The 13,888-nt window shown below is 40.0% G+C and overlaps 1 protein-coding gene and 1 long non-coding RNA gene across 3 annotated transcripts in view; one reads left to right on the top strand and one right to left on the bottom strand.

Moving 5' to 3' along the window:
- Nucleotides 1-13,888, top strand: part of PTN (pleiotrophin) — a 116,393-nt gene that overhangs the window by 15,756 nt on the left and 86,749 nt on the right. The window lies entirely within an intron of this gene.
- On the bottom strand, nucleotides 1,951-3,240 carry LOC105375527 (uncharacterized). Its single transcript, NR_187965.1, has 2 exons — nucleotides 3,181-3,240; nucleotides 1,951-2,593 (listed from the first exon to the last, which is right to left on the bottom strand). It is a non-coding gene; the product is annotated as an uncharacterized LOC105375527 (long non-coding RNA).

Here is a 13,888-nt window from a genome sequence, read left to right as displayed (position 1 = left end):
CCACACCCATCATCCAGTAGCTGAATAACAAGGTGTCCGCCTGAAGTCAAGAACCTCTCATATATCCTTAGAGGGCTGCTTCAGTTGTCAAGGATTTTTAATCAATAGAATATCTGAGACACTGGGCATGTTCCAACAAGACACTGTCCATGATCCTGGCCTGTAGGCATCTTAGTTTCATCCTCATAAAAGGGGACAAAGCAGACTTAGAGCTGGAAAATCAAATGTAAAATGAAATGATAAAAGAGTGGTTTAGTGGTTTTTTTTCAGAGAAGGAAGACATTCTGGTCTGGAGTGGAAAAGGGTGGCTGCATATAAAGGATAGGATTTTCTTTTCTTTTTCTTTTAGAGATGGGGTCTTGCTATATTGCCCAGGCGGGTCTTGAACTCCTGGCTTCAAGTGATCCTCCTCCCGTCACATCCCAAAGTTCTGGGAAAGGGTAGGATTTTCAAAGGCAGGGTGGCATTGTGTATGGCAGAAAGATATGGGGAAAGCATCCCAGGTAACACATGAAGAAAGAGGAAAGCCAAAGAGATGATCCCAGGCAAGACCTCAGAGACAGAAAACAGAGGGGCCTGATTTGTGCAGAGAGTGAGTGGCCAAGAGTGGAAGCAACGGTTAGAAAAAAAATGTTAGGAGTGATAGCAAGACGCTTCAAGTGAAAGCTAAGCTGCCTGAATTATATCAAGTTAGATTGTAAGGAATCACTGAAGGTTCTCCACAACAGAGAAGAAAAGAATTGGTAAAAGTAAGGCATAAAAATATCATTTTTAAAGAAGTAACAGATCAGAGGTGGAGAGAATCAGTTAGGTTTGAAAACGTAATGCTTTGTGTACCAACCCTTACCCTACCCCTTGATCCTTTTACATTCTGGAAATCCTGTGCATACTTCAATGGTTTGCTTAAATACCGTCACGTCCGTGAAAATTTTACCTTTATTCCCCTAGTTAAAATGATTACTTACCCCTTTCTCTGTTTCACAACTTTCTATGGTTTCCTTTTATAGTCATTCATTCATTCATTCATTCATTCATGTGTTCATTTAAAAATATGCAATGCACACAATGAGCTGGGCTCTATGTTAAGTATCAGGAATACAGAGATGAATATGACACAGTCCCTGTTTTTGAATAGGACAGTCTAATTGGGGGGAGCAGGCAGGCACATGAATAGCTAATCAGTGAAATTTCAGTGCAATGAACTAGATATGCACTTGTAAAAGCCCATTGGAGAGACATTTTAGTCAGCTGAGGGTGGATTCAGGGGAGGCTTCCAGGAGGTAGTGTCTCCTAACTTGTGTTTAAAGATGGAAAAATATAAGGAAGAAAGTGTGAGTTCTGGTGGAAGCAACGGTGTGAATGCTTACTCATTCTTATATGACAGTTACTTTAAATGACTATCTCTCCCCACTTCACTATAGATCTCTTAGCCAATACTTCATACAATAACAGATGAATGAATAAATAAATGAATTGCTGATGCCTTGGTGTAAGTAGGTAGTTAAGACAGATTCTTTCTGGACATGCCGTGAGGTAAAATAAAGGCTATCTGTAATCTAGACATTATAATGGGAGGTGAGTACATGAAGGGTGAGTAAACAATGAGATGTTGACATTGATCAATTTGGGAGAATTCTAGTGCCATTGATAGAAAGGGGAAATGTAGGGGAAGAGCTGATTTGGGGTAAGAGAGTGTTGCAAGCCTGAAGGAATTGTGGAGAGACAGGATTATCCTAAGAACTGAGCATGAACTACGTGCAGGCTTCTGAGGTCTCACTGAACTGTGGACACCCTCAATGCCTGGGAGGCCCTTTCAATGAGAAGTAGCCTCAGGCTTGTAGCACTTGGTAATTGGTGACTGGGCTCCCATCCAAGCTGCAGATTTCTAGTCCCATTACTGTACCTTCTTCTTCCTGAGCATTCACAACATGCTTTCATTAGAAAATGTGGTAAGACCATATTAACAATTTTTATTTTCTGAGAAACGTTTTTCATTACTTTGCTTCTTACTTTAAATGTTCCTTGGATGCATCAGCTCTCAAGAAAACTCTATAATCACGTCTAGACATTTCACATGCACATGGAATGGTGTGAGGCCATATCTTCCAAAGGAGGCCAATTGGCCGAGGAGAGGCTTCTATAATTTCAGTAACTGCATTTTAGATGTGCACTGATTCACTCATGCAGAGATGCCAGCTCTTTTCTTGAAACTGCTTGTTTTCCTATGCTCAAATGAATGACCTTCTGCCAATCATACATGGAGTCATTATTTCTGCAGCCAGTGGAAAAGGTAGTTACTCATGAAACTCAACCCTAGGGTGACAGTGAAAGCCAGATTGTTATGGCTTGGTAAATATTGATTAAAATATGTGGAGAAAAACAAAATGCTGGGCTTCCATCAGAGGCAGAAACAGTCTCTTATGCTCCTTGTTGAAAGGGCCCCTGCCCTGGGTGGGTGTTTTGTGATGGTGATGTTGCTTCTTGCTGTCCATAGTCAGCACCTCCTCCTCCTCCTCCATGTGCCCTGCTGGGATGTGAAGACACTCCCTTCCTTTTCTATATTTTCTTTATCCCACTCCAGGCATCCTTCTTCCTAGGGAGGGCAGAATCAGTGGTAAATGGATCATTTTCAGTTTTCTTCCTTTAAAATTATTTTTTCAGCTTTGCTAAAAGAAAAGAATGCTCAGGAAGTAAATATTGTCTGGTTTCCAATCCCCAATTTAATTAATTTAATTATCAGCCAGAAGAGACAGGAAATGTCCTGGGGACAGAGATCAGACAAGATCTTTTCTAAGAAAGCCATTTAACACAGGGCATATTATATTTAATGTTGTTCCAGATTCAGATTTAGTCAGCAATTCCTGGTCCAGATAATTTGGGGCCTGGGAGGGTAAAATCTTGCAATTTCACTGAAGCTCTGCCTTATCTGTTTCCTTTGACAAATCAGGAAGCTACTGCAGGATGAGCCTATTACAGTACAATTAAAACTCTTTTATCTGCAGATAACCCAATTGATATTTCATACTCTGTTTCATACTCTGAAACAATTCATACTCTGTTTTGGCTTTCCATTAACAGCTAACATCCATGTAATATTTTACTATTCACAAATTGCCTTCCTATATCTCATCCCATTTTATACTCTAAACAATTCTGTGAGATCCATTTTAGTATTATTACCCTTTCCATGGATGAGAAGGAGGAGGTTCCCAGAATGGAGACTTCTCCAAGATTTCTTCAAAAAGGGAGTGTGACAGTTGCCTCACTGACCTTACTGGATCTTTGGAGGGAATTATCATAGCCTGTGAAAGTATTTTGCAAAAAAATTTTTTTTAAAGTTGGCGTTTTGTTATTTTCTGTGTGTAGATTATTTGGCTTAAAACATCAGCTTACACAATCGTAGAACATTGTCTCTTAAAGAACAATTTACCTGTTCTTTAGAATCTCATGGGGCTGTGGTCTTAAAGTGCCCCATACTTTATCTATGAATCAGAATTTTTAGATGAGGGCTTAGGAAGGTTAATTTATATATATATATATATATTTTTTTTTTTTTTTTTAGAGACAGGGTCTCGCTGTGCTGCCCAGGCTGGAGTGCAGTTGCTATTCACAGGCATAATCATTGCACACTACAGCTTGAGCCCAGGAATTCACTCCTGGGCTTAGGCGGTCCTTCTTTCTCCACGTTCCGAGTAGCTGAGACTATAGGCATACACCACAGTGCCCAGCTTAAGAATGTTAATTTTTAGCAAGGCCACAGAACTACTTTCAGACACACTAAAGTTTGAGAGCCATTTTGTGTGTGTGTAATGTATTTGGCATGTATCTATTGAAAATACGACCTACTATGGCACTAGCAGTCTTCTAGAATTTGTTGGAATATAATAGATTCTATGTTCTAGACCAGCCTCTACAACTGGCTGATTTTGTATTAAATCACCTGAATTTTTCAGGCTTCTATTTCTTCATTTGTAAAACGAGGGACCTACACTAAAAGATCTCTAAGATCCCACTAATTTCTTTGATTCAGTGTCTATGATTTTCCTAGATTACGATCTGTGGATTCTCTTCTCTCTCCCCATGGAATACTCTTCTGATTGTGTTTAAGTTGGTGGCTCTGCAGCATCAGCTTCACCTAAGAACTCGTTAGACATGCAAATTCTCAGCTAGTACCCCAGACTCTGAGGGTAGGGCCAGCAATCTGGCCCTTTAATGAGCCCTCATGGTGATTCTAATACATGATCGAGTTTGAGACCATTGAGATAATCCTGATTAGTAAATTCAAGCATATAACTACACAATTATAACATTTTGTTTTCTTAAACTTAGGCTATGGCTATGACTAAATATCTACTGCTGTCTGTCTCACAGGGAATGACATTAAGAAAGCAAAATCCCTCTTTGTTTTTCATATGTGACTTCCAAGGGTAAAAACTCAACTTTCCATGTTTTGAAAGTAGCTTCTTTCACACGTTAAGGTATTCAGACATCATTTGAAAGTTTGGCAAACAAATGAAGTTTTAAATTACTGACAGTCTTCACTTTACCATAGTAAAATTAATTCACACCAGTCCCCCAACAACATAATTTATTAATATATTAACTAAAAGTATATAAAATACTTAAACTGCATAAATACAAATTTCACTGCTAGCTGCTCAATCTACAAATCACGACATACATAACAAATTTGCTTTCTAGTTGGTGACCCATCACATCCCTTCTTTCATAGTCTGTCTGTAATTGGTCACTGTGAATCTGTTATTCACTTTAGGCACAGGCAACAAACCATGTACTTTTGTTGTCTCCCTGTCTCACAATGATAAATTCACAAGATGTTTTTCAAAAATTGGTAATCCAAAGAAGAAATTGGACAACAAAGATGAAAGTGCAGGCAAGAAATGAGAAATAATTTAACACTGGAAGTGAAACTCAAGTCAAACATAAGTGGAGTTACAGAAGTAACTGAAGGTAAAAACATTGATGCTGCTGCCACTTGAGAGACTCTCCATGTGTGGCCAAAGGCACTTAGTAAAGGCAAATTAATAGCTATAAATAAGGAAATTGGATATGACTAAGAGGATGAAGGTGTCCTGAGGGAATTGATGCTGGCAGTAACTCACTTTAATGGATTCTTGGATTTATTTTATGACACTGAAAGAGTGAAGAATAAGTGAAGTTTTGGAAGCTAATCCAAATCTAGAAAGGTGTATGATGATTTGCCAAGGCACGGAAAAATGCTTATTCTGTATTGTAATGTGTACCATGAAAAAAGAAAAGCAAGCTGTTCTAATGACTCTTGATAAATACTTTGCAAAACCAAACACTTTACATCTCAATATTTCTAATGTTTTATGTGGCTGTATACTAAATAAATATCAATTTTACAATATTTTAATTTTTCTATACATTTATGAATAACAGAGTTTTTAATGATAGGTCATAAAAAAAACCATAATTTTCCTATTGATAATTAAGGTTGATCTTAAAACAAGGTCAGTTTTATGGTCCTAAACTACTATGCATAGCAAGAACTGCCTATGTATCTCAAGTTTCAAATATAAACACTTTGAAAGCAAGTGTATTACTCCAGAACTCATATGTCACTCCTAAAAAATAACTATATGAACTGATATGTTTTATATTTTTAAAATGGGCTATAGATGTCACCAGTTGAAAACATCCATCCATTGCTTCCCTCAATCAAATATTTATTGAATGCCCACATGTTATTCTTCTAAGCCCTGATAGCACAGGAGTAAACACCTATTAGGTACCTGCTTTCATTGAGCTTTCATTCTCAATTAAGGAAAAGCAAATAAGTAGGCAAAATTTCAGCAAGTAGTAAGGAAGAAAATAAAAGAGGATAATGAGTTAGAAAATGAGTCTACGTACGAGGGAAGGAGGGGTGGTGGTTTAGGAAGGAGAGTGCCAGGGAAGGCCTCTAAGCTTCAGCTAAACATGTTTCTGTTCCTGGGCTGAGATAAAATAACAGTTTCAGTGGTTAAGTCCGAAGTTCTTACTTTGTAACTTATTGTACACTGTATTTTTGAAAATTAAATATCAATATTAAACTTTTTTTTACTTATCCTAGTCACATACGGGCTATTTTAAGTAAAACAAATTTTCAAAGCCAATAATTAATTTATAAATAGAACATTAATTCTAGGCTATGGTAACTTTCCATAATTTAAGCATTAAACAATATTTCATTTTTGCTGATTACATATGTTTAAATCTGGAGCCACATATTTGAATTCCAAAGGCTGTGGCCATAGCGCTACTGAGAAATGATTATTAAATAGTGCTGTGACAAGAAGAAGAAATTATTTCTGGTAGTGATTAAACAGAAGAAAAGCCACCCAATCTTCATATCAAACAAAAATCACATTGTCATGGAAAAATTATAAACCTATATATAAAATATCTTTGAGCATCTACCATCTAAGAACGTGGCATCAATGATAAACACTATTAGTGCCAGAAGAAATATTGCCACTAATTTTGCAATTAACACATGAGCATGAATAAAGACATTGGATTACCTTTTTTAGGTGATGAAATATGAACTGTGAGAGGGAGAAGTCAATATAAAAGATGTGGTTAAAAACGGTATTAAAGCCAAAGAAAGATGCAAACCATATTTGGTGTAAAGGATTTTATTCTTTCAAAACAAACATCTCTTTGATTCTTAGCCAAGCTGTGAGCAGGTATAGTGCCTTCCCGTAAGCCAGTTTGACAACTGGTATTAACCTCAGAGTTCAGAGGAGAGAGAATGTGGTGAACATGCAGGGTCTTTGCTTGTTTAGCTGCACATGTGTTATATAATTCAGTACCACCTGCAGCATGAAAACAAGCTTGGCAATAGCAAGGGAGCCCTAATAGCTGTTGGGTCGTTTCCTTAACTGTCCATTAGCCTGGATGCTCTGAACGGGACACCTGTGGACACAAAGTACATTGTTGAATATTCATTGTAGAGCCACAGCACAGTTGACCTCAAAGCTTACTTTGAGTCTGTGAAAAATAAAGCCAGAAGTTATAACACAGAGGGTTCTTCCAATCCCAGCTTGCTTGGCAAGATGAATAACCACCATATCAAGATGTGTGAAGAAGAATGACAAGGTATCCTGTAGGGCAGGTTGACAATGAACTGCAGGACTAGAGAAGGCAGAGCAGGTTTCCATAAGGCAACTGCTGTTAGGAATAAAATTCAATTGACAAGCCAGTGTCAGAAAATCATGAGAAAGCATATAATGCAAACTTGGAAAAAAATCCCCAAACCTATTATGTTATAAAAGTTCATTTTTCTCTATTCCGTATTTGGAATCCTTTTTTAAAAAAAAATCAAAATTTTGCTTTAATCCTCTTTCTCCTATCTAAACACCTTCCCAGGGAATTTTTCCCGTTTTTATTTCTGTCAACAATAGCTTTAAGTTTGCCATGGAGCAAAAGTGCTCCAAATCTCTATAATAAATGCAAGTCACTGCATACTTGATTGTGCAAGGAAGAGTATCAAATTCTAAGAGGAAAGCACAGTACTAAATTTCCTAGAAGTGTGAAATGATCCAGTTATAGTTGCACTACAGTAGATGAGTGAGTTAGAAAATGGAGTCTTCATTTTAAAGTTGACACTAAAATGTTCTGCTTTAGAGAAAGATTTTACAGTCCTATGTGTGGGTCTTACTCTTTCCGTCAGGAAGGTAAGAAGTAAGTATGAGCATTGGGAAGAGACAGTGCCTGTGAATGTGTGGGCGAATTATGGTGAAAGATGAGTAGAAACAGACAAAAGTAGAAGACTGTTTTATTCTCCCATGGTATAAAGGTATAAGATAATAATCACACAATTGAGGATGCTCAATGATTGTCATTTAAATATGAATGCGTATATTTATGTCTTCCAAACTAGCAGATACATATCGTGCAAGGGAATTTTGGAGCTAGAAAGAGAGAGAGATTTGTTTTCTGCCTTTTTGAATATCCTGGGAACATGGACATACAGACATGTGGCCTCTTAATTAGCAGAATACACGTGGAGGGGATTACTTAGGAGTATTGAGTATGGACTGAAAAACTGACCTAGACCACATAAGACTCCCTTTGGCCCTTGGATGTTACACTATAAGCTACTTGAATGCTATCCTAAACGTACAAGACCATAACGTCAAGGAGTCCCAGCAAAGCTGTATGAAGCTGGAGTGCAGGTACCCGCCCAGCCCATTCCGGCAAAAGTATTCAGGTGTTGCCCCCAGCTTCTGGGTCTCCAAGCCTTGGCAGTTTGTCCGGCTTCTCATCTGTACAGGTTTGAATACCCTTTGTGGACACACAGAGACATTTTGAGATCCTGATAAAATGGAAAACAAAACCCCACAGGGGAGACATCCTGGGTTTTCCATTTCAATGACTATAGAGGAAGCTGAATGGCCAAAAAACGATCTGCCAGCTAAACAAGGAGGACTGTGGTCTTGGTGAAGTGACAAAGAGATGTTCGCTTTCAGCCCCTTGGAGTGCCTTGATTCAATGTCAGGTTTTAAGGAACGACTCCCCAAAGAACTCTCGGGTTGTGGGTATTAAAGTCATGCCCGCTTTGGAGACTTAAGCTTTCTGAGAACAAATGGAAGAAAGTAAAAGGTTACCCTTTGTAATATCTCACATTTACCAAGCCGGAGACTGATAAATGCTCTATCTTTATGACTCAATTAATTCTCACAAGAATTCTGTTAAGTGTGGAAACTAATTAATCCCATTTTACAGATGAGGAATTCGAGGCTGAGGGATATTAAGTAAACTGCAGAAGGTCTTTGGGTTTCAAATACAAACACTTTGAGAGCAATGATTTCCTATTACTCCAGAACTCAAGTAGTCAGCGACGATGTGGTGTCTGTTGAACTAGAGAGCTTAGGTCTTTTTAGGCGGACAAAAAGTAGAGAGTGGTGGACAAAAGTAGAGAGAAAGATAGATGGATCAGAAAAAAGTATCCCTACAGTAATTTAAAAAGGAAGAGACACGACAGCAGTCACTAAAATGCCAGAAAGCAGACAAAGAATCTTGGTGTTGGTGACGGTAGTGGGGAGGGAGAGTTTATTCTACTTATTGAGGGCAATGCTTACCGCTTTTACATACCTTATCTCACTTGAGGCACTACTATTCCATTTACAAATAAGGAAACTGAGGTCTCAGGCAGGTTAAGTAGATTTCTCAATGATTTCAGCCAGTAATTAGCAAAGGCTAGATTTGAACTTAGGTTGTCTGACTCCAAAATCAATGTTGTGTTTACAACTTCATGGTGAATGAAGGCCGACACCCAGAAAGATGGGGAAGGAAGATCATATCATTCGGATAATGCCTGTAGTCATTTGTTCATTCACGTATTAATTCGCAGCATACACATTTACTTGTCTCATCTTTCAAAGTCCTGGAAATAGAAAGTTAAATGAAACTTAGAGCCTACCATTTATTTTCTTAAAATTATATACGATGAGCACAAATATATAAAAAAGTTAATACTTAATGTGGAGCCACAGATGATAAAATGCTGTATGAAAGAATCTGTAGGATTCTACCTGGTTTTTCTGCTCTGAAGTCTCTGGAATCGCTGGAGTTACAATTAGGGCCAGCAAGAGAGAGATGAAGTGTTGAAATACCTGGTTCATTCACAGCCTTTTCTTCAATGTGCTCTCAGCCACTAGATTACTCTTTTATTTATCTATTATTAAGACGAGTCTCACACTGTTGCCCGGTCTGGAGTGCAGTGGCATGATCTCAGCACACTGCAACCTCTGCCACCTAGGTTCAAGCAATTCTCCTGCCTCAGCCTCCCAAGTAGCTGGGATTACAGGCATGTGCCGCCATGCCTGGCTGATTTTTTTTATTTTCAGTAGAGATGAGGTTTCACTATATTGGTCAGGCTGGTCTCAAACTCCTGGCTTCAAGTGATCCACCCACCTTGGCCTCCCAAAGTGCTGAGATTGTAGGCGTCAACCACAGTGCCTGGCCATGATTACTCTTGTAAAGAAAGGGTCAAGTCTATCTTGTCTAGAAAATTTTCTTTCAGCCCTGTTGCCTACCTGGCCACCCACTCCTTGAACTCCCAGGGTACTTACTCATCCTGAACCTCGCTCACCTGTCTTTGGTCACTCATGCCTCAGTTGACGCATCTTCCTGCAAAGACTATAAACTATAATATTTGAGAGAGGGACGACGCCTTCCCCCACCCCCTGAAAAAGAAAACCAGAGTTCTCTACAATGCAGTATTGTTTAAGTATTGAATGCCCCACATATAATTATCATTTAAGTACAGGATTCTTTCCAGAAGGCCCTATACAATTCAGAGACAGAAAGAAAATAAACACACGATCAAAATAAATACAACAAATGCTGTAGGATGAGAACATTTTACAGTTTCTGGGATGAAAAGGAACTCAGTAAAGTTCCAAAGTCTATAGAATTTCCCAAAGATGGCACTCGCATGTGTGTGGTCAGGAGATGTGAAGTATAGGGGTTGCCACATGGGGGATCTCTAGGATTCCTCCCACACTCTTTACCCACATACACCCACTTCTCAGTTAGTTAGAAAATTTAAAGAAGTCATTATGATTTTGGAGGTGGTTGGGCATTTATAAAATTCTTGATATTCAAATTTAACTTTCACTAACCACATAGGAAAAAAACCTAAAAATCATATTCTGATTTCTGCACCGAGGGTACCCAAAGGTGGAATGAAGAAAGCTCTCCATGGCTGGAGGCAACTCCCAGGAGCAGAGGAAGCAGAGCCTCCATCTGAATGGCCAGCCCCTGCTCTCCCTGACTCACCCAGGCCGATTTTCATCAAGCCTGACATATGGAGTGACAGATTCACAAACACAGCCTCAGAAACACTCTAGGTGACTGATGTAATTTCTGATTAAGATTGCATGCATTTGTGGAAATGAGAGAGTAGGGGAGAGAAAGAGAGAGACCACCAACCTGAGAGAACCCCACCTCCAATGGAGAGGCCGGGCTTGGGGACAGACAAAGCAGTTAATTGTGAGCAGTTCCACTAAGGGGCCTGGGAAACTCCAGCACCGAGGGGTGGCTGTGACCCATTTGGCACAGGCGCCACTGCCTTGCGTATTTCCACATCCTAGACGGTCAAACACCTGGGTTACCTCATGAGTGCAGCCCTGTTCTTAGAGATTTATGATGCTCACCAAACCCGGCAGCCGGCTAATTTGCTGGAAAGGTAATGCTCTGGCAGCCCAGTCTGCAACCCAATGCTCCCCAGGAGGGCTTTCCTCTCCTGCTTATGCTCTTGCTGAATTGCCTGGCCATTTTCTGCAGAAAGGAAAGTAATCTCCACTCTCTTTTGGGACGGCTCGATCCTCTGCTATCTGGCATGGGTCATTTTCAAAATCTGCCCCCTCCTGTTTGAAAGGCATGAGGCCCCTGTTATTAATGAAAGGTGACCTTGGCCTGCCTTTATAAAGTTCTCTTCCATTACACCACTTGACAGATGCAATCATGAAAAATGCTTCAGTCTGAATTTCTCAGGAACATTTGTTAGGCCTCCAAAGAGACTTTCTTGTAAGACTTATGTTCCCTGAATATGGACGATGCCCTCAAGATCAAAATTCTCGGGGTAGAAAATGAGGTGTAGGATTTGCACCTTGCTCCAAGTTTGCACAGAAATGAATGGAGAGACTGAGAATGGAGCTGAGGCAGTTTGAGTTCAGGGTCCTCAGAATTTTGATTTCTAACAAGTTCCCAGGTGACGGTGATACGGATCGTCTGGGAAAAGTATTTCAGACCTGAAGAGAGAATCTTGGAATGAGCTGCCTTGAGAGCAACAACGGCCTTAAGAGATGATTCTGTTCAGAGGTTTACTGACTATATTCAGTGGAGCCTGAGGATTCTGACGAGGTGCCTCAGGGTAGATGCAGCAGGCAAGAGGAGATCACCCAGTTAGCACAAGAAATGATCAGAGCAGATATTTTTATCAGTTGTGTATTTTGGAGTTTTAGACATGGTTTTATTTGACAGGAGGTTTTTGCTACTTAAAATAAAAGTGAAGCTACCAATCTAGTAGGGTGCATTTTTTTCAATATGCAAACCCAGTGGCAGAGGCAGAGACTTAGGATCACAGAACTGCATACCTAGGCCATCCCAGCATGTAATGCCACCTCCCATCAGCTATACCATGGGATACTTTTACTACATTCTAGTGTCCCAGCTCCAAAGCCGCCCTTCTATGCTCTACCCTGGAGTGCTGGCCATGTGACCCTGCCAGAGCACATTTCTGTTTCTCAGTTGGCTCCACAGCAGGCTGTCAGTAAGGGGTGTGAGACGGAAGCCCAGAGTCACTAGGTGGTTTAAGATCCTGGGTGTTCGAATCCGGCTAGATCTCCCCTTTCCACATTGCAGGAACTCCCTTTCCAAACAATGTCCCAACTTGCCCACGAGAGAACTGATGAAACTGTGACTTCAACTTAATTTGTAATTCTGCAACACACACACTTAAGAGCTGTGCTTGCTGTTCAATAATATCAGCCCAGAGGTTACAACAGATGAGATTCCTTTAAGGCTACCAGGTAAGTCCTCATCTGTGGTTTGTGATAAGAATTTGGACTTGAGCTTGCACTTTTTTTTTTTTTCGTGTAAGTGTTCTGGGACATTCAGGAGAATCCATCCCACACCACAGTCCTCATAGTCATCATTACTTTCGTAATGGTCAAGGACAGCAGCCATCTGGGCTCTTAAGGCATTTTCTTCAGTAAGTAATTTATTACAATCAAGTACAGGTGTTCATTTGATTAATGGTGATACCATTGCATGGCATAATTATTAGCATCCTATTTTGCATTGGCAACGAGCCCATCACCGTCAAGCCCGAGAACACAGCCAAACCAATCCCTCTATCCTATCTATGAGCGTCTGACTCCTGACCTTGTGCTGGCTACCAATTTCTGTGTGTCAGGATCAGCCAAGAAATACACCACATCAATTACTTTAACAGAGAGAATGAACATGAATAATAGTTAACAATGTCTAAAGTATTAATTATGTAACTGAAATAAAACATGGAGGAGTCACTAGTATCACAAAGCAACATGGGCCGGGTGCGGTGGCTCACACCTGTAATCCCAGCACTTTGGGAGGCCGAGGCGGGCGGATCATGAGGTCAGGAGTCTGAGACCAGCCTGGCCAACATGTTGAAAGCCCGTCTATACTAAAAATACAAAAATTAGCTGAGTGCGGTGGTGGGCACCTGTAATCCCAGCTACTTGGGAAGCTGAGGCAGGAAAATTGTTTGAACCTGGGAGTCGGAGGTTGCCGTGAGTCGAGATCACACCATGCTGGATTTCAGCATGGGCGAGAGGGCGAGACTCTCTAAAAAAAAAAAAAAAAGCATCATGTAAAAGACTGGGTTTGGACCTGAGAGATAATACCATAAAAATAGGCATAATGTATACGGCACATCTGTATATACAATTTCCCTTGACTTCTAAGCCCATCTAATCTCCTGAGAGTCTAATATTGTGGCACTTTTCACTTGCTTCTGCCATGTAAACTTTGCATTGTGCTACACATATTTTTATATATGTCTACCTTCCATCAATTGCTGGTACCTCATTGGTGATCTTATTCGTCTTTGCCATATGCTGTAGTACATGGAACAAAGTAAGTTAATACATGCAGAAAAGAGCAATGATCCATGATACTGCTAAGGCCACTTTAATGCATGGAGTACTCAATGTATGCCCTATTCTGGAAAGCCTGTCTTGGGGCTGTGTCTTTTAGGGTACTATAGAGCCTTCCGGAAATTTTAGCAATGCTTTATAGTTGAACACTGAGCCACAATGACTCTAAAAATAGATATTTTCTTCTGCCTTTCTACTGAGATTTTCTAGTCCCG

Source organism: Homo sapiens, chromosome 7, assembly GCF_000001405.40.
Source record: "Homo sapiens chromosome 7, GRCh38.p14 Primary Assembly".
NCBI classification, from domain to species: Eukaryota; Metazoa; Chordata; class Mammalia; order Primates; family Hominidae; genus Homo; species Homo sapiens.
This window is presented reverse-complemented; position numbering and strand designations above follow the sequence as displayed.